At 41.3% G+C, this 24,977-nt stretch overlaps 1 protein-coding gene across 51 annotated transcripts in view, besides 1 other annotated feature; it reads right to left on the bottom strand.

Annotated features, from left to right (window-relative positions):
* WNK1 (WNK lysine deficient protein kinase 1) overlaps positions 1 to 24,977 on the bottom strand; it is a 158,874-nt gene that overhangs the window by 3,274 nt on the left and 130,623 nt on the right. For 24 of the 51 annotated variants that reach the window (NM_213655.5, XM_011520997.4, XM_011521001.3 and 21 more), the window contains 12 exons: positions 24,611 to 24,784; positions 24,348 to 24,405; positions 23,936 to 24,058; positions 22,095 to 23,530; positions 20,875 to 20,958; positions 18,956 to 19,039; positions 17,666 to 17,726; positions 13,544 to 13,617; positions 11,447 to 12,108; positions 10,498 to 10,700; positions 7,509 to 7,703; positions 145 to 332 (listed from right to left, as the gene is read on the bottom strand). In NM_213655.5, the coding sequence (NP_998820.3) occupies positions 145 to 332; positions 7,509 to 7,703; positions 10,498 to 10,700; positions 11,447 to 12,108; positions 13,544 to 13,617; positions 17,666 to 17,726; positions 18,956 to 19,039; positions 20,875 to 20,958; positions 22,095 to 23,530; positions 23,936 to 24,058; positions 24,348 to 24,405; positions 24,611 to 24,784 (3,342 nt within the window). The remainder of the gene's footprint in view (positions 1 to 144; positions 333 to 7,508; positions 7,704 to 10,497; positions 10,701 to 11,446; positions 12,109 to 13,543; positions 13,618 to 17,665; positions 17,727 to 18,955; positions 19,040 to 20,874; positions 20,959 to 22,094; positions 23,531 to 23,935; positions 24,059 to 24,347; positions 24,406 to 24,610; positions 24,785 to 24,977) is intronic. The other 27 variants (XM_011520999.3, XM_047429375.1, XM_047429376.1 and 24 more) reach the window with 3 other exon arrangements.
* Positions 2,416 to 2,515: an enhancer, noted in NCBI's record as "active region_5792". NCBI's record gives its function as "activates an Ori minimal core promoter by ATAC-STARR-seq in GM12878 lymphoblastoid cells {active_cell/tissue: GM12878}" and the evidence as "EXISTENCE:reporter gene assay evidence [ECO:0000049][PMID:35858748]".

Genomic DNA, 24,977 nt, shown 5'->3' with positions numbered 1-24,977 from the left:
ACCTGGGGGATTTTTGCCTTGTTTTTCTAAAGTATTAAAATTGAAGAAGGTCGTGGCGTAAGACGTTAAGCAGCAGCTTAGTTGTTTCTATCACCTTGACTCAGATGTGTGTTACGGATTCTCTGCGGCAAAAGAGAGACTTACCTCGTAATTCATGTGCCCTTTGCTTCCTCTCCTGCCTGAGAGATTCATGGCATCTCGGGCCCAATTGTCTACCAACTTGTGCAAGTCATCTGTGAATGTGCCCTTCCTGCTGGACGTCATGGCAGGAGGCTGAGCTTGGGCGGCTTGGCTGTTCACTGTTGCCCCAACAGTGTTTGTGCTGCTGGTTCCTATTATAAGCAACAGAATACGAGCATTAAAAGAAGCCTAGGTTACAATTTCAGGAAGAGGGAAAACTTCACGGGATGATGAATGGCAAGCCACAGAATGAGAAGAGGATGAACTGGGAAGCCATGCAAGAGGGAAGATTCCAAGGTTTTGTTTAGCCATTTGTTTTGGTATAATAGGGTGATGAAAACAGTTTCTCTTCAGTAGCTGCTGCTAAGGCTGAACAACTCAGGATGACGGTAGGTACACAGGCAGGGGCCTCTTTCAGTCCATTCACAAAGCACCTAAGAGTATTGGAACTGCTCGCCAGTACGCTATTCCCAGCATCACGTTGCTGATGGAGGTGTGATACAATCAGCAAGGCTAGTTGCTCTGGAATTTTGCAGAATGCAGGGAAAAAGAGGTTTTCTTGTGCATTGGGCACGGTTAAAGTAGGAGTAGGAAAAGATGCTTGGCTAAGGATAAGGAGAAGGTGGGTTTCCAAACCATTGGACACTGCCACATTCTTTAGCCTTTTTTTTTTTTTTTGAGATGGAGTCTCACTCTATTACTCAGGCTGGAGTGCAGTGGTACGATCCTACCTAACTGCAACCCCTGCCTCCTGGGTTCAAGCGATTCTCCTGTCTCAGCCTCCAGAGTAGCTGGGATTGTAGGTGTGCACCACCATGCCCAGTTAATTTTTGTATTTTAGTAGAGACAGGGTTTTGCCGTGTTGGCCAGGCTGGTCTCAAGAACTCCTGACCTCAGGTGATCCGCCCGCCTTGGCCTCCCAAAGTGCTGGGATTACAGACGTGAGCCACCACGCCCGGCTTTTTTTTTTTTTTAAAGGAAGGGTCTCTTCTTTTTCTGTCACCCAGGCTGGATACAGCGGCACAATCACGTCTCACTGCAGCCTCCAACTCCTCCTGCCTCAGCCTCCCAAGTAGCTTGGGACTAGACGTATGCACTTCCACACCCAGTTAATTTTTTACTTTTTTATATAGACAGAATCTCCATATGTTGCTTAGTCATGAACTGCTGGGCTCAGGCAATCCTGCCATGTCAGCCTCCCAAAGTGCTGGGATTACAGGTGTGAGCCACCATGCTCAGCCTAGCCATTCTTTAAATAGAGAGAGGTAATAAGAGAAGTAGCATGCTGTGTTCAGAAAAGTTTTTCACCTGGACCCATAAACATGAATTTGCAAACATAAACTTGGGAGGGGTTAACCTCTCCCAATTTCCCATGAGTAAAGAACAAGATTATTCATGAGGAAAGGACTGTATGGTGTGCCTGAATCTTTCAACTTCAGGAAGACATGGTTTTCCTGAAGATGACCTCAGTTTCAATTGGCTCAAGGATTCCCACCGCTTCTCCCCACTCTTCCCAGAACAGCAAGCACTCCCATGTAGAAGCGACAAGAAAATGCAGCTGAGGCAGGGTGCAAAGGGGAGGAGGAAGCTTTGCGGTTATGATGAAGGAACTCTATTTCTGCGGTTTGATGAGAGAGGAGGGAGTCTATGCCTGCCTGATTTCGGCTCTGCTGGAGGGCACACTGAAGATTATTCCAAGAGGCACGTTTTGGGGAAGAGGGAAAGAAGAGTCATGGTCTTGTCTGTTTTCCTTACCCCCCACTGTCTTACCAGATCTCACGTGTTACAGAATAAATAAAAGCTCCTAAAGTAAGTTGTGAACCACTAGTCCTTAAGGTACCCAAGTAATGCGGGGGTAAGTAAGTGCATGCGTTATCCTGCTTTCAAGGTCAAAGCAGCACCAGATCACAGCAGCACACCTAACGCAATCCTGCCACTTCAAAGCCTGTTACTGACCATCGCTGGTCTCAAGTCAAGCTTATATCCTACCACCTGGGGAATGGCACACACAAGCAGGTCTGTGCTGCAGTAACAGCTAATTCTGAGGTGAAGCTGCAGTGAGGAAGGTCACATGCTTCTTACCGCTATGGCAAGACACGGAACTACTGCAGTGTGAGTGTCAGCTCATTTCTTGGTGTCTGCTGGAGCCACAAGGGGATTGCTATTGCACATACAGTGTGAAGGGAAGAGTAAGCTCCCTACAGTACAGGAAACGCGAGGGGAGAAGCATGAGAGCACAGAAAACAGCCTTCCATGAACAGCCAATGTGAGAGAGTGGTGAAGTGGGAAGCACAGGCAATGAGGATGGGCAGTCATGACAGTGAGTGACTCAATCTAGAAAGCAAGCATATCACATGCATGGGGATTGTCATCCTGTTTGAACAATTATTGCTTGGTGAGCTTGATGTGAGAGACAATCAAAACAAAAAACAGAAATAATCACAGGGGAGCAGAGCTGTCAAAAGCTAAATACAAGAAGCTCAGGAGGCGTGACCATTGCTTATCCACAGAGCTCATGCTGGGAGACACACCTCTCTAGTCTGTCGCCCCTGATGCTGCGAGGCCCCTTTAGAACGAAATTTCACTTTTCATTTTACCCTACATTACCTAATACAGGATTCTCTATGAGGAAAGAGAAACCATGAGGAAGAGTCAACCATACAGCTAAACCTTCACGTTCTGGCTTCTGTATACAGGCCTCCCATTAAAGAATGAAACAAACCTATCATTTTCTGACCAGAAATTAACTCCTAAGAAAAGGAGACTTGACTATAAAAGATGTAGAAAGGCCTTTGAGAGAATATGCTAACTTCTTAACCTTTTTTAGTTCTTCTGAAAAGCCCTAATAAGTAGTATAGACTTACCCCCAAGATTCATTTTTAAATTTCCTCCTGCCATTATAATACATTTCCCCTATTCCCACATCACCAGATCCTACTAACAATAACCTATTATGAACCATAACTTACAGCCCAACATCCCAAGTACAGAATTTCCCTGTTGACCCTACCTACAACACTGTAAGTGGCCTTCTCATTAAAGTATGAGAAGCCACAGTCTAAGAAGACAAACTCTAGAAAGTGGTGTTTTTCTCCTCGTCAATCTAGCACACATCTCCCACTTCAGTGTGAACGTGGGAGGGCATGGACTTTTGTATGCTTTCGTCACTGCTGAGTTTCCAGTTGGGGTAATAACACTGCCCGGCACATATTTGCTGACCAAAGGATCGCTCTCCCATAGGAACTAGGCATCCCTGACCTCCCTATATATACCCATGGCCATTACCAATCCATGTCTGTCACAAGCTAGGCTCACATGGGGTTATCACTGAGGGCACCGACTAGGAGATGATTTCTCAATTAAGCATGTTAAATATTTATTAGAATAGGATACAGAGATAGATGGAAGTTAGGAATCAGGGAGCTATGAGACTGCAGAGTTGAAAGAACTCATGGTTAACAGGCTTTGCAATCAAGGACCAAAAATAACAGAAAAGATAATTACTACAGAGCTGGTTGCAAGGACAGACTTTTTTCACCATCTTCCCTGAAGCACAAAGAGAGAAGCAATGTGTTAAAGATAAAGAAACATCAGTGTAAAATATTTAGAATCTCCAAACAGCACACAAACGCCCAGCAAGAGAAAGCAGGAGGTGAGACAGATAGGTAGGACCTGGTAGCCCTTGAACAGATATAGTTCTACAGAATGTTTCGAACTGGCTGTTAGCCTTAACATGATTATCTGATGGGCTGTGTTACGTGGCTGACAGATGTGGAGTTTCTACACCCAATCTTTGTATCTAAAAGAGTAATGCCCTGCACTGAGGTTCTGGAATTGGCGAGGAACTCCAGTCTCTCAGGTCTCACTGCTTGAATTTCAAATACCCAAGCAGCGTTTCCACTGATCCTGTCCCACTTCCTGTTTCTCCAGCTGGGCTGTTAAAAAGCACTCAGTTAAATGCATTAGCAACCCCACCACAGTAGACTGATAGTATCACTGTTACAGCTTTAAGTTCATTTAAATTGGCTATTATATTTCCACATCCCACATATATATACTAACCCCTTCCCTTCCAGAATAGTTTTTAAAAGTACGTGGAAAACAAGCAACCTCTGAACATAAATATAGCAGTAAGCCAAGCCGTGCTTCCAAACCATTATCTATTTTGAGAGCATAGAATAATACATCTCAAGCTAGTAAGGTGCCCTACTCTTTCAAGTACCTGTTTCCTTTCCATATTTCAAGTATGTCTCTTGGGATTTGTTTACCAGGCTTACATGATGTATCCTGATGTGACTTCTAAGGATGTAGGGCCTTTCATTTTGCACCCAAAGGGAAGTGACAAGATTCAATATTTCTGACCACTTTCATTTGAACAACAGGGGTAATACCACCTACCTTTAAAAGTGGGATGAGAATTTATGGAATTTAATTAAAGTGGTATTTGTCACATTATATTTCAGAAACAGAAGCTTTGGTTCTCTTTCTTCCCTCTCAGACACTTCAGGCTGTAGACCATAGGCCTGACATGTCACATTCTACTTCAAAAACACCCCCCTTGCAACTTTCTAGGTGGACATGCAAATTAAATGCTTATTCAACTGTCAAAGTGCTAATATGCACAGTCCAGGAAAGTCTGACCAGAAAAATTATTGATCTGAGTCCTCAAAAAAAAAATCACACAAGCCTGGAAAACGATCGAATTGGGTAATGCCTTCCACCCGCTTCTTTGTTAAACAGCCTGGGACTAGTGCATGTGGGGAAAGTCAGTAAAGACTGCCTCTCAAGTACAGCTAACTCATTACTAATACAGGTACAAATAATAGGGGTGCTGGAAGGAGCCAATCCATTTCTAATGCAGGTAAAAATAACAGGGGTATGTGTGAGGGAAATGGCAGTTAAACGTGTCATATGCTTCGCTTTAAATCTAGTCACTACAGAGAACAAAGGGAGGTTGTAAATTCTTCCCACCGTGAAGAGGCCCAAGGGCCTCTGACCCATACTCAGAAACAGTGATGGCCTGAGCACATGCATGTAAAAAGCACTTCAATAATCACATCAGAAGTTTGAGGCCTTAACAGAGAAGATCTTTATTCAAATTATAACAAAGGTTTTTCTACTTGAACTATGTTTTTGTTTGTTTTAAACTGTTCTTCCACGAACAGTTATTGACTACCTGTTCTGTGCCAGGTAGGCACTGACTCATCAGAGAGAAACCATGAGTGCTTTTCAAGCGCTACCTGTTTCTCTGTACATGATCTTAGCTTGATTTGTACGATGGCCCTAGGACACTGGCATCATCTCCATTTCACATATGGGGAAGATGGGGTGACTTGCTATTGTGCCTTGTTTTTAAGTAGAAAGCTGCAAAATCCCAGAAATCATGTTAGAAGGAGAATTTTCACTTGCAGATGCTGGGCTTTGATCTTTATTAGACTAAGTGCTTTATCAGAATAACCAAACTAAAAACCGCTTTTGATTTTATGGGGTTAGAGGACAGTAGTGGTGGAATGATCCAATGAAGAGATCCTAGCATCTTTTCAACTGGTAGCTGCTTAGGCTTAATAGAGAAGAAAAATAAGATTTCAATCTACTCTGACAAAGAATGGAAAAAAATGGTACATAATTTTTACCTGCTGCCAGGATCTAAGAGCATCATTGGTCAAAATGCTTTCTTCATTTCGTTTCTTTTTTTTGAGATAGAGTCTCACTCTGTCGCTCAGGCTGGGGTGCAGTGGTGCAATCATGGCTCACTGCAGTCTCAACCTCCTGGTCTTAAGGTGGTAATCCTCCCGCCTCAGCCTCCTGGGCAGCTGGGACTATAGGTGCACACCACCATGCCAGGCTAACTTTTTTTTTTTTTTTAGAGATGGGGTATCACCATGTTGCCCAGGGTTGGTCTCGAGCTCCTGGCCTCAAGCAATCTTCCCGCCTCGGCCTCCCAAAGTGCTGGGATTACAGGTGTACGCCACCGTGTCTGGCTGATTTCTCTCATTTCTAATGCTAGGGCAGACAGACAGCACTGACTACGACTGTGGAGTTCAGTCTTCATTATTCTAAATGACCCAGCAATCTATTGCCTAGATACCATATCCACTCTCTGTCACAGATCCATGAAGAAGCACTTCTACCAGAAAGTTACATTGAAATTTGTAGATAACTTGTTATTTTGACATTTTTTATCATAATTAATGTGGGGGCCCAAACTTCTGAGGGTAACAGTAATTCAGCCAAGCCACTGAGTAGATGATATACAAAAAGAGACAAATGAAAATGGACTGCGTGAAACATCAGATCCAAGCAGCAGAAACACAAGGACAAGGAAGGAGTAAAGGTGTTACACACAAAGAGCCAAGCAGGGCGTACTCAGAAATCGGGTCCTCCTGCCACCAGGTTTGAATGTCACCTGTTCAGATGCACAGTTAAACTTCGCACAGCCTGTGAGAGGGGAAAAACAGGGTAGAACAGAGAGAGGAGAAGAGACAGAACACAACTACAAGATGTTAGAAACTTGAGGCTGGAGTGGTGAAATGCACTAAGATGGCACACAGAAGAACAAGCTTCTGGGGGGAAGGTCAGATATGTAAGAGATGAAATATTAGGTCTTAATTCTACCCATCTGCAAAATGCGGAAGCTTTTCTTAGTTCGAATAATGCTAGCTAGTTTGCCCTCCTTACCAATCAAGTGCATTCTTCCTGTGAAGAGACTGATCTCTAATTTCTGTGAAACTGTGGCAAAGGCACATAAGCCAGTACCTATATTTTTTTCATTCTTCTCACCCAGATGCCCAAGTCTTTTCAATTCTTGTTCTAATATGACTAAAAGCTCTTTCCTCTGTGGGAATTTTTTCAGCAATCACTAATAAACAGAGCTATATTTGGAAAGTAGATTATGGATAAAAAACTGAATTGTAAGGTTATTCATTTTAGTATGCCACTCCCATACTTAAAAGTAACAAAATTCTACAATGGCTAAGAAAATGTATTAGCTTCAGAAACTGCTAAAACACCTTAGAATTTCATCCAGGAAATCTCAGCCTAATATTAAAGCCTAAGTTCCAAATCCCAAATGAGCAAGTCATATAGGCCACACAGATGTAACTTTTCACTGTAATTCCTTGAAAAAAAGTAATTTCACCTAATGGGAGCAGTGAGCCCACCGATTCTCATTATCACTCCACTTCCCTTTTCACCCAGATTCTTCAGTGTACAACACACAGGCTGTGTTCTGGTCAGCTAGTCTCCCAACCCGCCTTAACAGGCTTTTGTCCCAGGTATGGCAACATCTCCATTTTATTGTTTTTGGACGATGATGGTTGCTTTATTACCTTGACCTGGAGCAGAAAGGCTTGGTACTGAAATGGCACCATCACTGGTGAAGGCTGAATAGAGGTTGTCACTGGAGGGAGATGGCTTAAGGGGCTGTAACAGCTGATTCTGCCCGGACTCTGGGATGTTGCCAGGAGGGTGGAGGGTCTGCTGGGGGTGCAAGACTGAAGCTGCACTCTGACCAGACAGGTTACCTGCCAAAAGATAAAGTGGCATGAGGAAACATGTCCAGCTCTTCCCATGCACTCATCAGGCACTGTTCTTATACATTTGGTTTGTTCCACTGAGTGATGAATGATGGGTCAAAAGCTACAAACTGATGAGAAGAACAAAGTCCTCACTAACGGGAGAAGTGAGGAATGACACTAAGACTCAATAGATAGGCTGGGTGTTGTGGCTCACGCCTATAATATCCCAGCACTTTGGGAGGCCAAGGTGGGCGGATCACCTGAGGTCAGGAGTTCGAGACCAGCCTGGCCAACATGATGAAACCCTGTCTCTACTAAAAATATAAAAATTAGCCAGGCGTGGTGGAGGGTGCCTATAATCCCAGCTACTCAGGAGGCTGAGGAAGGAGAATTGCTTGAACCCAGAGGCAGAGGCTGCAGTGAGCCGACATCATGCCACTGCACTCAAAAAAAAAAAAAAAAAAAGAAAAGAATCCATAGGTAATAGGGCCATATGTACTATTCCAGAGCTTTTTAGCTTTAGAAAACCTAGATGGGCCACATGTCTGAGCAGCGTAAGAAGACCAGAGTACCTAGTGGATACCCAGATTCCATTCTGCAATTCCATGATTGCTTTTTTTTTTACCCTATTAGAAAATGTGTTGAATCATTATACAAAAAGGTTTGCTAGGCAGTCTCTGCTTAGACTTTCCTATAAACGTGCATCAGAGCAAATACAAAAGAGGTGTTCAAAAATGATGGAGGTCACTACAGAGCAATGGGTGTTTAAAATTATTTTTGGTAGGTTGCTTTCAATAGGTCGGTTGTCCTAAAATTGACTCTCTGCTCCCCGGTTCCCAGTTGAATTCAAGTCCACTCAAAAAGTATGTCAAAATTAGGATTAGAATTTGATTAGGATCATAGCTGGGCATAGTGGCTCATGCCTGTAATCCGCACTTTGGGAGGCTGAGGCGGGCGGATCACCTGAGGCCAGAAGTTTCAGACCAGTCTGGCCAACATAGTGCAACTAAAAATACAAAAATACAAAAATTAGCCAGGTGTTCTTATACATTTGGTTTGGGATTACATGCTTGTAATCCCAGCTACTTGGGAGGCTGGGGCATGAGAATTGCTTGAACCTGGGAGTTGGAGGTTGAGCCACTGCCGACTCTGCCTCAAAAAAACAAAAACAAAAACAAAAAAGATCTGATTGGGATCAGATCAGAAATTAGCTGATTTCTCTTACAATCACATCTCTACTAATGGGCTGCATGAACTGGCCCTAATGTGCTACATTTGGATATCTGTGAACCTTTCCAGAGAATGGAACTGCTAAGAAGTTTGCAACTGCTTTTTAACATATTTTAACCTTCTTTTACTTTTCAACTAATTGTGTTAACACTACCATAATTTCACCAAAGGATTAGAAACTCTCTATCTATCCCAATTAAAATATAGTCCAGGGCCGGGCACGGTGGCTCACGCCTGTAATCCCAGCACTTTGGGAGGCCAAGGTGGGTGGATCACCTGAGCCAGGAGTTTGAGACCAGCCTGGCCAACATAGTGAAACCCCATCTCTACTAAAAATACAAAAATTAGCCAGGCATGGTGACATGTGCCTGTAATCCCAGCTACTATGCGGGGCTGAGGCAGGAGGATCACTTGAAACTGGGAGGCGGAGAATGCAGTGAGCCGAGATCGTGCCACTGCACTCCAGCCTGGGCAACAGAGCGGGATTCTGTCTCAAAAAAAAAATTCAAAGTTAGCAGGGCATGGTAGTGTGTGCCTGTAATCCCAGCTACCCAGGAAGCTAAGGTAGGAGGACCACCTGAGCCTAGGAGTTTGAGGCTGTTGTGTTGTGTGCTATGATCACACCACTGCACTCCAGTCTGGGCAACAGAGTGAGGCCCTGTCTCTTAAAATAAATAAATATATATATATACTACATTACAAAAGAGTATCACTTAACTATTTCTTTGATTTTAATGACTAGCAAGTTCTTCTTTTTTTTTTTTTTTTTGAGACAGAGTCTTGCTCTGTCACCGAGGCTGGAGTGCAGTGGTGCAATCTCAGCTCACTGCAAGCTCCGCCTCCCGGGCTCATGCCATTCTCCTGCCTCAGCCTCCTGAGTAGCTGGGACTATAGGCGCCTGCCACCATGCCCACCTAATTTTTTTATTTTTAGTAGAGACAGGGTTTCACCGTGTTAGTCAGGATGGTCTTGATCTCCTGACCTCGTGATCTGCCTGCCTCAGCCTCCCAAAGTTCTGGGATTACAGGCGTGAGCCACCGTGCCTAACCAATGACTAGCAAGTTCTTTAACCCAATATAAATGAAATAAAAACCTTAATCAAGAAGTTACCACTTAGACATACACACAAATATCTATATGACGATTACATTCATCTAAGTTGCAATTATGACTAAGTCATCCATTAAAACAAAGAATCTACCCAAGTTTTACTAAACAGAGAATAATGTATTTTCTTCCAACTGCCCAAGAGTTTGGTTAAATGTGAGTTATACGAGTTAACAGGCAAAGCTAAATGTCTATCCTTAAGAATAACTATAAATAAAGATTACCAGTAGATAGCAATATGGATTACAATGGAATAAGCCATTGTATTCACTAAGTCTACTTCTATAGACTCAAAAAGAGGTACAATAAATGTAAGTACAGCAGTCAAGGAAGCAAAAATATCAGGAGAGCCAAATTCCTTTGAAATTTAACAAAAACAACAAATGTTCAGCAGGTCACATACAGCTGGAGACAGAAACAAAAGATAGGACAGCTGTGGCTGACCTAGTCCAGGGCTTTTTACCTGAAAGCTGGGGGCTTTTATTCCCCAAGGAACTGCTTCGACTAGATTTGCTGCCTTTGCTTTTAGTGGGTCGTCGTCTTCTCCCTGAAAGGGGAGCAGCTGGGGGAATAATAACAGCAGGGGGCACCTTGCCCAGTTTGGTATACAAAGATTCAATTTCATGCTTCTGGCGACTCTGCAGGTCCTGAATCTCTTTGAGATGTCTGTGAAAGATAACCAAACATAATTCAAAATACCATAATCCTCTTCATTCAGACAAGAATTAACAGCATATTCCTAAACCTGCTTTCAAGTATGTAGTAGTTACTAATGAACCTTTTCCCCAAATGTACTACCACGAGATTCTAGTTTGTCAACTCACCTTGCTGGCCTGCATTACCCAAGCCATGTTCCAACAAGCTCCTAGCCAACAACAAATGGTTGATAATGTTTTAGGAGAAAAACATTTCCTGACTTTTGAGGCCACGCACACAATAGCTGAATTTGCTACTCTGACCCAATCTGCCAAACAAAACGTGCCAAATAATCATACATCCCAGTGCCAGATTCATTTAGTGGACTAATAAATAAAGAGCAGTTAATAGTGATACAATATGCTATTAATAAAAATAATAATACAATACAGTAACAATAATACAGTAATAATATAGTAACAATGAAGAAGTTCTAGAACTAGAAATGCTATGGGTCTGTATGAGTGCAAGAGAAGCTGCCTGTGCCTGTGAGTCAGTGGTTGGGAATCGTGTGTGTGTGTGTGTGTGTGTGTGTGTGTGTGTGTGTGTGTGTGTGTGTGTGGTGGGGAGGTATGGGGTGGGGCTTCTGTGGCACTGTCTCTTTAAAAGAAATGAGACATTAGCATATTGTGGCGAAAAATATTATTAATCTTGGCCCTGGGATCTAGGTCTGAAAACCTTATCTGACATTCTTTCACAAGAGAAAATATACTTACTTATCTCGTAGTCGTCGCAGCTCTAACTTTAAGTCTTCATCTTCGATATCTGACTCATTGTCGCTACTCATGTAAGAGGAGTTAAATGAATTACTAAGGCTTTGACTTAGATTCTGGCTAGGAAGGCTCTTTGAGCTCAGCTGATGGGGCGAGTGTGGACTACCGGAACCATCATCCACATCCCTACTTAAAAAAGCGGCCTCCGGGTCAGAAGACGGCCCATTTAGATGTGAAGGCTCTGACAGTTCAGGCTTCTCTTTCTTTGGTATCACAGCAGGAAGAACAGCTTGTTCCAAATCCATAAAAGGAGGAGATGCCACTGGTCCTTCTTTCTTTGTGTCAGTGATCTTGTCCTCAGTTTTTGATACAGAGAAACGACCCACTTTGTTTGCTGTAGTTGTCACCTGAAAACGTCCAACCTTGGTAGGCTGCCCAGTGTCTGACTTTGCCTCTGAGGCAGTAGTTTTGTGGGCACTCTCTGGCACATCTGAAGAGATACCAGGGATGGTTATGCCATTCGGCTCTGGTTTCACCAAGGTACTCTCTGGACTACTACTTGATAGCACTGAGGACTCTGAGGTGCTGGATTCAAAATGAACAGACTTTGCATCTTCTGACTTATTTTTACCCTCTTTCTGGGCACCGTCTGCTGCAACAGAAACCTGATAAAAAAGGACAAAGATTAAAAACTTAAGTTCTCAATATCCAATTTCTATCACAGACAATTTAAAAAAGGAAAAAAAGAATCACTTTATTTCCCTGTCAAAGAGTAGGCTGATTGTCTCTTTACATAGCGCCTCCACTTTTGACTAGGAAGAAAAATTGAATACCATCATAGAGAACACATGGGTACTGAGATGCAGATTCTGTGTGGCTGGCTACGCTTATAAAGTAAATAATTTACTTTCGTATTTGATGTCATACACAGAATTCAGATTTATGTCTTAGTCAACATATACATAACAAAAGGTCAGGGCCAGGCATAGTGGCTCATGCCTGTAAGCCCACCATTTTGGGAGGCTGAAGCAGGTGGATCACTTGAGGTCAGGAGTTTCAGATCAGCCTGGCCAACGTGGTGAAACCCTGTCTCTACTAAAAATACAAAAATTAGCCAGGCATGGTAGCGTGTGCCTGTAATCCCAGCTACTTGGGAGGCTGAGGCAGGAGAATCACTTAAACCCGGGAGGCAGAGGCTGCAGTGGGCTGAGATCATGCCACTGCATTCCAGCCTGGGTGACAGAGTGAGACTCCGTCTCAAAAATAAATAAATAGATAAAAATAAAAAAATAAAATAAAAGTAAATAAATAAAATAAATTAGCAAGGCATTGTAGAATTTTTAGGGTTGCCTGTGAATAAGAAAAACTACAAGGTAAATGTTAAATGCCTGGTATGCCTCAAGAATCAACACAACTAACTGGTAACTAAAAAAGAGGATCCAGATCCTTGTTCTGGTTTGTCCATGTATTTACAAATACAAACTCAGCCCACCTATAAAGGTTCAGGACCTGTTTACAAATGAGAAAAATATCACCTACTCTCCCCAGCCAGAAAATGCTCACATGTTGGACAACCTGGTAAAATAAAGTGATATGGTATCATGTGTTTTAATTTAAAGAATTAATCTTAGGACAATTATTTTAAACGTGGAAAACATTTTTATACACAAAGATGTTTGCTGTTACTTAACTTATTATGTTGGAAAAATGAGAAATGATGATAGAGACTGGTTAGGTAAACCAATTACTGGATGGGAAAAAAAGCTGTAACATTTGGAACAGGAGAAATGGTAGTTAATTTTAGATAAACACTTGTACAGAAAACAAGGAGTGGAAGGAAATACACCCCAAAAAGTAATCTTGGGAGGTGGGTGGATAGATAGTACGACTATCTACCGTGTCTCTACTGTTCTAAGTATTTCTATATTTTATTTAGTATATATTACTTTTATTAGGAAAATGCTAAAAAGAGCTATAAAGTACTATGTGACAGAAATCACTAGACTGGCAATTGTGTCCCAAATAGGTAGGCAGTAATTTTATTATATAGACAACTCCTCCAAAGGAAGGAATCAAGGCAACACAAAGTGACTGTCTTACCTGAAATCGTCCCATCTTAAAAACACCAGCTCCTGAACTAGTTGCTAGGACAGGGCCTTCTTTGACTTGAGAAACTGAAACAAATACATGGATGAGGAAAACATAAGTGTCTCCTTCCAGTTAACTTCTTTTCCCTTTAGCTAGAAATACAGCAAAATCAAACTACACATGAGGAAAGCTGTTAGAGGCAAAGAGAACTTCCTTATCTCCTCCCTCCATGAGGCTCTGTCCAACAGGGGAAAAGAGTTATTGTTTGCTCTACTACTAGATACCAACTACAACATTAACATATACTATAAAAACAAAGGTTAACAGGCTTTAAAAACTCAATTACTCATTCTTTAATTCAGATATATAAGTAAGTGAAATGAAGGATGAGATTTTACTGAGGACATTAAGGACCCATCTTTATTTTATTGAGATGGAGTTTCGCTCTGTTGGCCAGGCTGGAGTGCAGTGGTGCGATCTCAGCTCATTGCAACCTCCACCTACTGGGTTCAGGTGATCCTCCTGCCTCAGCCTCCTGAGTAGCTGGGATTACAGGCGTGTGCCACCACACCCGGCTAATTTTTATATTTTTAGTAGAGACGGAGTTTCACCACGTTGTCCAGGCTGGTCTTGAACTCCTGACCTCAGGTAATATGCCTGCCTCAGCCTCCCAAAGTGCTGGGATTACAGGTGTGAATCACCATGTCCAGCCAAGATCCATTGTTAAATGAAAACCAGCTAATTTTATTTTCTCAATGTAACACTGGCAAATTCTAGAATAGGATAGTACAGTTCTCAGAATTATTATTATTATTATTATTATTTGAGATGGAGTCTCACTCTGTTGCCCAGGTTGCAGTGCAGTGGTGCGATCTTGGCTCACTGCAAGCTACACCTCCCAGGTTCATGCCATTCTCCTGCCTCAGCCTCTCGAGTAGCTGGGACCACAGGCGCCCACCACCACACCCGACTAATTTTTTGTATTTTTAGTAGAGACGGGGTTTCACCGTCTTAGTCAGGATGGTCTCGATCTCCTGACCTCGTGATCTGCCCGCCTCAGCCTCCCAAAGTGCTGGGATTACAGGCGTGAGCCACTGCACCCAGCCCTCAGAATTATTTAGTTTTGGGCAATTTAAAAACCTTTCCGGGGAACAATGCTTTGAGTTTCTTTCTAGAGATATATTTATTTTATACAGCTAGTAGAACATTGAGCGATTTTTATGTTTTCATGTAATTCTATATCTTTGAGATCATTCCATATCAATGCCTCATTCTTTTTAATGATTGCATAGTGTCATACCCTATGTATATACCATATATATATTTCATATTTAATCAGGCTTCTACTGATGGGCATTTAAATTATTCAGAATTTCTTTTCTTTTTTCCCTGAGACAGGGTCTCACTCTGTCACCCAGGCTGGAGTACAGTGATGCCATCACAGCTCACCACAATCTCAACCTCCCAGGCTCAGGTGATCCTTCCTCCTCAGCCTCCTGAGAAGCTAGAACAACAGGTGCACACCACCACATCCGGCTAATTTTTAAAATTTCTTGCAGAGATGGGGGTCTCACTATATTGCCCAGGCTGGTCTCGAAATCCTGGGCTCAAGCAATCCACCTGCTTTGGCCTCCCAAAGTGCTGGGATTAGAGGTGTGAGCCACCATGCCCGGCCCAGAATTTCTTGCTATTTTAGAAATAAATATTCTCTTATAGATCTGTACAATAAATATACCACAATGAAAGTGCTGAATTATTTCCATTTAAGACTGTAGTAGACATCACTATTATAAACTGATCCCCCCAGAGGCTGTACCAAGTCACTGGTGGCTATTAGACCCCTGAATTTACCAATGAGAGGTGGGAATTGCTATCACTTGTAGCCTTACTTTGTGTTTCTATCATTACGGACATTAAATATTTTCATGTCTAAGTTTCCTTTTCTGTTATCTTTTGATTGTTTTTTGGTTCATGTTGAATTTTAGGAACTCTTTGTATTAGCAAAACGAGTTCTTTTTGTGATATGACTACACATACCCCTCCCCCTCCCACAAATATATATATTTCCCCAGTTTTTCATTTATATTTGCAATCGGTGGCACTTTTCTTCCATGAAGAAAATTTTATATCTATTACTACTTGCTTCTGGATTAGACATTGAACTTAACACCTCTATTAAACTTATCTGAGAACTCCAAACTGATCCATGGACCAAATTCAGCCTACTGCCTGTTTTTGTAAATAAATTCTATTGAAACACAAACTCATTTATTTATGTATTGTCCATTGCTACTTGTGAGATCTGAGTAAGTTGCAAGAGACTATATGGTCTAGAAAGCCTAAAATTTGTACCATCTCGCCCTTTACAGAAAAAGAGTTTGTGAACCCTGCTCTAGATAGTTGAAAAAAATCCCCTTGGGACGGGGGAGGGATGGCATTAGGAGATATACCTAATGCTAAATGACGAGTTAATGGGTGCAGCACACCAACATGGCACATGTATACATATGTAACAAACCTGCACGTTGTGCACATGTACCCTAAAACTTAAAAGTATAATAATAATAAAATTAAAAAAAAAAAAGATTTCCAAGCCACAAAAAAAAAAAAAAGTTAGTTATAATGTGGGATCTGAAATAATAGTAATAAGATATTCATAACTGTGGCCATTAAAATCCATTGACCTATACATTTTTTTGTTCATGCATGATTTTTTTTTTGAGACAGGGTCTCACTCTGCCACCTAGGATGGAGTGCAGTGGCAAAACCATAGCTCACTGTAGCCTGGAACTCCTGGGCTCAGGCAATCCTCGTCTCAGCCTCCCGATTAGCTAGGACTACAGGCATACACCACCACAGCTGGCTAAATTTTTGTCTATAGTGAAAAAGGAAAATAATGTCTTAGTTTTACTGTAAAATAGTGTTGCCCTCATAGGCACCCCAAAAGGGTCCTCAGCCCACACTCCAAGAACTGATGCCTTAATACTATGCAATTCTCAAGTTGTTATTACTAATAAATTAAAAAACTAAAAAAAAAAAAAAAAAGAAAAAAAATCCCCTTATGATTTCATATAGTACTATTTTATGATATAATATTTCATCTTTGGTCCACTTGGACTTTACTTATGTCTAGGCTAGTGATCCACCTTTGCTTTTTTCCAGATGGCTTTCAAGTTGTTCTAAACCACTTATAAAAATATTCCATCTTTCAGCCAGGCGCGGTGGCTCACGCCTGTAATCCCAGCACTCTGGGAGGCCGAGGCGGGCAGATCACCTGAGGTCAGGAGTTTGCGACCAGCCTGACCAACAGGGAGAAACCCTGTCTCTACTAAAAATACAAAATTATCCAGGTGTGGTGGTGCATGCCTGTAATCCCAGATACTTGGGAGGCTGAGGCAGGAAAATCGCTTGAACCTGGGAGGTGGAGGTTGCAATGAGTCGAGATGATGCCACTGCACTCCAGCCTGGGCAACAAGAGCAAACTCCACTTCAAAAAAAAAGAAATATTCCATCTTCCAATGATTTGAAAAGCTACCTTTTTCATATTCTACATTCTCTTTTTATTGGTAGTAATCTTTATTATTTTCATTGTACATACTTGATACTCTACATATTTTGATAATCTACATTCCCCTTTCATTTTTCCATTTCTAGACCATTCTAATGATTTGCAAATCACTTTTAAAATGAGAGCCAATTGAGAATATAATTGCCTTGAAAATAAAAATGTTTAAATTGATTAACTGAAATCTTACATTTGTATTTCAATACAAATATATGTCCAGACTATTCAAGCTTCTATCCCTATATATCCAGTGTCACAAAAGCTAAGAGGTTATCAGTAAATTTACTTTTCTAAATACAGTATGCTTTAATTTCCTAATCTCTAATAGCAAGGATCTGGCATAGCTAATAATGAAGGGTCTTATCATTACCTCCTGTATAACCTTTCCTCTGACAAATAATAACGGAACAGATTTATTAATTTGCTAATCTTTCAAGCTTTAGATATTACTACCAATGCTCCTCAGTTATCAAATACGTGGAAATGTGTCTTTGAAACGGTAAACCTCCTGAATCAACTACGGGTAGGGCTGGAATTAGTAATATAAAAGGAGGAAGGATGTTTCTCACCACCCTTCTGAGGCTGTGTTCCTGCTTCTGTGATTGCTGTTGGAGCCGCCATGGACACAGGCTGTAAAACACACACAGACAGACACCACAAATCTTTAGCTTCAGTCACTCAAACTTTTGCCTCGTTGCCTTTCCTATGGTCTTTGTAAAAGGGCAGAAAGACAGTATATGTGATGAAACACTTATGTCTGAGAACATTTTATCTTCTTTCCTTTTTCTTTTAAAGTCTAAAAGTCTGATGTAAAGAAAGGCACCTTTTAGGGCCAGGCATGGTGGCTCACACCTGTAATCCCAGCATTTTGGGAGGTCAAGGTGGGCAGATCATTTGAGGTCAGGAGTTCGAGACCGGCCTGGCCAACATGGCGAAACCCCGCCTCTAATAAAAACACAAAAATTAGCCGGGTGTGGTGGCGGGCACCTGTAATCCCAGCTACTCGGGAGGCTGAGGTAGAAGAATCACTTGAACCTGGGAGGTGATGGTTGCAGTGAGCCAAGATCGTGCCACTGCACTACAGCCTGGGTAACAGCGCAAGACTCCTGTCTCAAAAAAAAAAAAAAAAAAGGTACATTTTAAAAGAATGAATTTCTACTCTTAATTCTTGATTGCTTTCTTAATTTTTCTCATAGGATGCTTAAGGGTATAACTTGGATATTCACAGAAAAACAGTTTCAATCAAAACATTATTATTATTTTTGAGATGGAGTCTCGCTCTGTCACACAGGCTGGACTGCAGTGGTGCAATCTCGGCTCACTGCAAGCTCTGCCTCCTGGGTTTTACGCCATTGTCCTGCCTCAGCCTCCCGAGTAGCTGGGACTACAGGCGTGCACCACCACACCTGGATAATTTTTTGTATTTTTACTAGAGATGGGGTTTCACCGTGTTAGCCAGGACGGTCTCGATCTCCTGACCTTGTGATCCGCCCGCCTCGGCCTCCCAAAGTGCTGGGATTACAGGCGTGAGCCACTGCACCTAGCCCAAAACATTATTTTATCTGACAAAATTTAGCCTCCTCTGAAACAAAAATACGAAATCCATAGAATTGATCTATGGCACAATCTGACCAGACGTACAACTAAAAAAGCACCTTTCAAATAAAATCTTTTCCATAGTGATACTCCTGAGTCAGCATGAATCTTTCATTAATCAGTCTCATTTCTTTTGGCTAGAATAAGCAGGAACTCTGAATACATGTTAAAGGTATTAATAATGGTTTAGGTTACAGTTTGTGTCCCAGGCATATAATATATTAGGGTTATGAGGAGATTTTATCAAGATTTTCAAAACTTACACCAACCGCAGAAGTCACTGTGATCATCTCTGGACTAAGTGTTCTTCTCAATTGAGCATCAAGATCCTCTAGAGGTTGCTGGGACTGAATGAAAACAATCACAGTAAATACAGTTCCGTGGCACCTTCAGAGTCACGATATATAGCCAATTTAGATAGGACACACTGTTTTATGCTTTATATTGGCACAACATAACATTTGTCTTTATGGAACATACAAAACTATACTCAAATTTAGTGTACTGCTTTGATTATTTTGCCAGTTTCTCAAGATTGTATGTCAGACTCTCAAGGCTCAGAGTAGTTCATGTTTTTGCAGTTTAAGAGAAGTCTTATTACATTCTATGTTTGATGTTACTCAAAACGGTAGAAAGAGTTATTTATTTGTGCGACCTTTAAAATATATTGTGAAAAATGTACAAAGATCTACTGGTAGATTCACTGTATCTCATGTTCCCTCTTTTCTTTCTCAGTTTTATACATCTTTCTGGGAAGGTGCCCCTATGAATAAAAGATGGCATTAACATATTCTGTCACTATCACAGGGTATTATTTTCCTCTTTCTTACATGTATACTTCTTCCCTACAGATGGTGGCAAGGAGGTCTGGGTATTCCATCCTGTTAACCATTCCATCCACCGCAAGCACACAGCTTCCTTCTACCCTTCCACAGTCTAATCCTACATCTGTCTTGGCTTCTATCAATCTATTCTTGCACAGTCTTTGCTTAGGCCTTTCCCTCTATCTAGGCACTAGCTATTTACCCTTACCCCTCCACATGTCTCACTTGCTATTTTTTGTCACACTTTATACTCCCTTAGAAATCTGAATCCATGTTTTTAAATGAGAAAATAAGTTTAAAACTAATTTTCTAACTCCTGATTTACGGACTTTCACAATGCACTTTCCCCCAAATGTGGTGGCTGATGGAGTGCTTTCTCTGTTGGGGTTTTTACTTCATTGTGGCAAGTTCCTCAAATAGTGTTCCCCTGTACATTGGGACCAAAGAAATAGGGATAAATTCCAACTCAGCTTCTCAAGTAAGCAATTTACCATGTTTTTCTTATTTCTTATATATGATTCAAAAATAAATTCCTAATTTAGTTTAAAAGTTTACTGGCTTGTCTCATGTCAGAAGATTTTTCCTGGTCACAACAGATTCACAATTAGTACTTTTCTTATGGAAATTCAACAAATGTGTTGGCGGTGGACTGCGGTGGGAAAGAGAAATAATAAATATTACAGGTAATTCTGTCCACCACTGCACTCAAGTGAGCAGAACTGTGTGAGATGGGAATCTCAAGTTCATGAGGCTGGTCTCAGTTCCTCCATGAGTGATCTCATAATGTTAGCATCTCACTGAGCTCGGTGGCTTTTATTTTAAAAGAGACAGCACACATAGTTTTCATGAAACATCACCCCTATACCTACCTATAAGTAAGCTAATTCCTTCATTAGGTGGCTAGTGAAAGAAATGATCAACATTCAAGAAGAGACTGGTTGCTCTGGACTCGCGGAAAAAGTTTCTCAGTTGCCATATTGTGCTTCTCCTTTCTAGGGCACTCTCAAAGTTAATTTTGATTATATACGCAATTTCGCTATTCTACAGAAGTGTGAGTGATAAAGGGAGCTATATGGGTCTGACAAAATGTTTGCTTTGCTGTTTTCTTCCTTCATAAGATATAAAAAAAAAATTAGTATCAAGTGTTTTTGGATAACCGGAAGCAACATTACAAACAAAAGAGCTATGAAGCTTCTTACTTAAGTAGGAACTGGGTCATTGGTTATAACATTTTAAAAGAAAGGTGTTACTAAGTCAAAGACAAATAGGCAAAAGCCAAGACCACGTAGTGGAGAACTTCAGCAAGCTTTGTCAAAGAAAGTAGGGCACAGGAAGAAATTTGTCAAGTCTTGAGGCACCTGGGTTAGAGAAGGTCCTGGAAAAGGTGGCAGCTGCTCGCTGGGTAGAGTACCTGCTGGAAGTTCAGTACCCACTGGCAGCACCTACAGACAACAAAGGGAAAATCAAGTCCGTGAGACGCTAAATATAAAGACTGCGTACTGAAGAGCAAATCAACTAATTTGAATGCACAAACATAAGAATAAAATATATATAGTTAAGACATGTTTATCACTGAGGTTACTCTCTGGTATCTGTCTTAAAAAAACGGTGTGACAACTAATGTTGTTATTATAGGGGTTACTACGATATACCTATAAAATGAATAGTAAAATACAGTAAAAAGTTGTCCCCTAGGGAGAACAGAACAAAGGCTATATGTACATAAGTGGCAGTGTCCAGATATTCTTGAGCTACTTATTTGGTACAGTATGTATCAGACTTTCGCCATGTAAAACAAGATTTTCTGAGAAAAGAAAACAGTAACTGGTTAAGAAATAACCAATGGGCAGGTCTGATAACAAAAGGCATCAGAAATCTAATACTATTATCAAGAATTTCTATTTTATCTGAGTGAAGATTCTGCATTATCCTACTATAAAAAGAACCTCACATCAATGGCAATGCAGAAAGAGGCTGAAGCATACAATACAGTAGACGTAACACAGCCTTGTTATTTGGAGAAGGTGGCAGAACAAGAGGAAATCCACCACAGCATAATTAGATAATAAATTTTAGTTACTTCAGTCCTAGGATTAGATTATTTATTTCTCCTCTGTATCAATTTCCTTACTAACTTCCAATTTTTTATAACCCCCAAACTGTACAACTGTGGAATCTACAACAAAACCAAAAATTTGCTTCATTCTCACTGAAACAAAGACTATGAACTGCTATTATTTACGTACATTTTGCTGACAGATGCATTTAGCTCCCTTTTGGGATACAGACTTCTTCAGTTTGTACCAATTCAGAAGAAATACCTGTATTTTACCCGATAATTATACCATCTTGGAAAACTGTGCAGCATAATTAACCCTAAAATCCTGCCACACTTGAAAAAAAAATCTCATGTTCATTGTAGATATACCCTCAAACTGCTGTCAATTTAATAAATACTATAAGCCAGGTACCTTTATAAATATGTTTCTAACTTACAAGGCTGAAGTGAAAAATGTACTCATTAGGGAGAAAAAAAACTGATCATATTTATCTAATTATTTTATAACAATAATTTTACCGGAGCCTTAGTTAGAGGTGGCTTGGAGGGAGCAGTTCCAGGTTTCACTCCTGATGTAGTAGTGCTGACTGGGGTAGAAACTTGCCCAGGTGTGACCACTGGTGTAACTGGCAAAGCAACTGTTCCTAGTGGTAAATTGGTTGGTGGTAAGCAAGTACTTGTGGTAGAAGTCAGGAGTTTGCTTGGTGCAACAGCAGTAGTTGGGATGCCTGGTGTGACAGTGCTCTCTATGACTAGTGAGGTCTCCAGTGAGACAGAGGCATGCTGAGCTCCAGATGAGCTGTGTTCACTGAACAGAGACCGCAGCTTTTCTTCTAGAGTCTTTATGTCATCAATTCCAGGAGCTTTGGGTTGTGTATCAGAATCTACTTCAGGACAATGAGTATGGGGCTGGTTGGGAAGCAAAGCTGGTTGAGGCTGACTATGAATTAGTGTCTGCTGTACAGCAGGCACATTGGCAACAGGCTGTACCAAGGGTGGGATACTAGGTACTTGGGGTAATAAAGGTGTAGAAGTAGGTCCTGCTGCTTGGGGAAGAATAGGAGTAGAAGCTATCACTGATGGAATGACCAAAGGATGCAGCCCACCAGGCTGAGAAATATAACTAGACACTCCTGCTCCAGGAGAGGAAGAGGAAGATGGTGCAGAGAGGGAGAAAGCCAATCCAGTTGTACTGCTATGAGATGTCTTATCTAGTGAGTGTGCGCTAACTACCACGGTTTCAGCTAAAGTAGGAGTAGAAGTACTGCTGCTAAGCTGAATGCACAGCTGTGAAGCTGTGCTTGGGAATGAAGTGGTGGTAGAAACTGATGTTAATGTGGCTCCCACAGTAGTGCTGCCTGCTGCCTGCTGAGATACTACAGCTGGAGGCTTAGGACCTGGGGTAGCAGTACTGCCCCCTGCAGAGGCTGAAGTTGCTGAAACTGTTACTGAAGGATACAGTGCTGTACTAGAAACAACGATCTCAGATGTGGATGTGGGGACTTGAAGTGACGGGGATGTAGTAGATATTGAGACAACTGCAGGTATTGTGATACTTGAAACTACGCTGGAAAGTACTGGTGATTCAGACACAGGTGGTATGGGGAGACCACCTGAAGTTACCACACCTGTGCTGGTGGCAACTCCAGCAATCCCCTCTTCAGTGGGCACTGTAACCTCAGACTGAATTACTGATGTGGAAATGTCATTAGGAGGGCTGCTTGTTGCAGGGACTGGTGCTGTGGCTGCTGCTGTGGTTGGGACTCCAGCAATGCTACTTAAGAAAGGAGGTACTACTGGAAATGTTGGTCCTGTATGACTAAAGTTTGGAGGTGCTGTGTTGGGTCCTTCTGTCATTTGGGCACGTCTAAGTTCAGAAAAGGCCTGTTGTAGACTAAGGGATGATGCAGAGTGAGACAAGTTCATTCCAGGGCTCTGAGCTGTAGAGGCAGCAACTGCAAAGGAATACAAAAAGATAAGAATCAGCTGATTTTAAAAGGATGGATTCAAAAGATTGTCTGCTAGCCTAAGTCAGCTCCTATAAATATCTGTTTTTGATAAAAAATATGGAGTAATCTTAAAACATAGACAACAGTACTAAGTGCAGAAATAAACACATACTACAATATCTATTATACAGACTATATCTTGGTATGGCCGTGCTTCTTGGCTTTTTCTGTAATTCTCTGTATTCTTCATCTATTTCCCTCTCCCATATGTTTATCTGTTGGTTATAACTTCAGTTTTCTATTCTTTTTTATTATCTGTGTCATCATAAATTACTGCTTTATGATTAAGCTTTCAACATAGCAGAGGCACTGTAGAATTTACATAACAATGTGGCAGAATCAATCCCTTACCTGTATCTGTTATTTCACTGGGGAAAACTTTTGATTCTCGTAATCGGCTTTCTGGCACAGGACTCACTATAAACCGCCTTCCCGCAGAATGAACAACTTGAGTTAAAGAACTGGTAGGAATGCCTGGTCAAAAACAAACAAACAAACGTAACTTAATAGCATTATTATTATAAATATTGTTAGACTTCATTATTGGCACATACAACTGCTTTTTTTGAGGCACGGTCTCATTCTCTCACCCAGGCTGGAGTGCAGTGGCGCGATCTCAGCTCACTGCAACCTCCGCCTCCTGGGTTCAAGCGATTCTCGTGCCTCGGCCTCCTGAGTAGCTGGGACTACAGAAGCCTGCCACCACCCTCGGCTAATGGCTTCTTAAGTCAAAGGTAAAAACAAGGAAAGAAAATAAATTCACCTATTTGCTGTGGCATGGAAGACGCAGGAATTGGTTGTTTGAACTCTCCTTCCAATTTCTACAACAAACAAAAGTGATTAAATACATTCTCAAATGCAATCTCAATGACTAGGCAAAGCAAACTGCCACATGTGAAGAGAACATAAAAGTTTGTTGTCGGTCATGGGTGTCAGGTGATATCACTGGACATTTTGCATAGCAAATTTAGAACTATGAAAATATTTTAAATCAACAAAGTTTCACTATGGGAGTGGTGAACCTACCTGAGAACCTGAAAAGCCATAGTCATCCTTTCCTTGTAGACTCTCCAATCCCTGATCACCCTCTGGTTCCACACTGACATCCTCACTGAGCATTTCATCAGCTTTTTCAATAATTTCTCGCACTTGATCCACAAACGACTCTCTCTCTATTGCTAGAATAAAGTCATTGTTCACCTGTAAAAGAAATGTGATGTCAGTCTAATTAGTGTCATTTCTCAAACTTTATGTCACTTTTATGACTTCTGTCCTATCTGCATACTTACCTATATTTTTATTTATTTTGTACTCAAGTTAGCTCTTCTCTTTTTAAGAACTTCAATATCTAGTTAGACATAGCCTAGACAAAAACATCACTAAATCACAGGTT

This window comes from Homo sapiens, chromosome 12 (assembly GCF_000001405.40).
Source record: "Homo sapiens chromosome 12, GRCh38.p14 Primary Assembly".
NCBI lineage: Eukaryota > Metazoa > Chordata > Mammalia > Primates > Hominidae > Homo > Homo sapiens.
The sequence above is the reverse complement of the archived record's forward strand: the minus strand, read 5'-3'. Positions and strand labels throughout refer to the sequence as shown.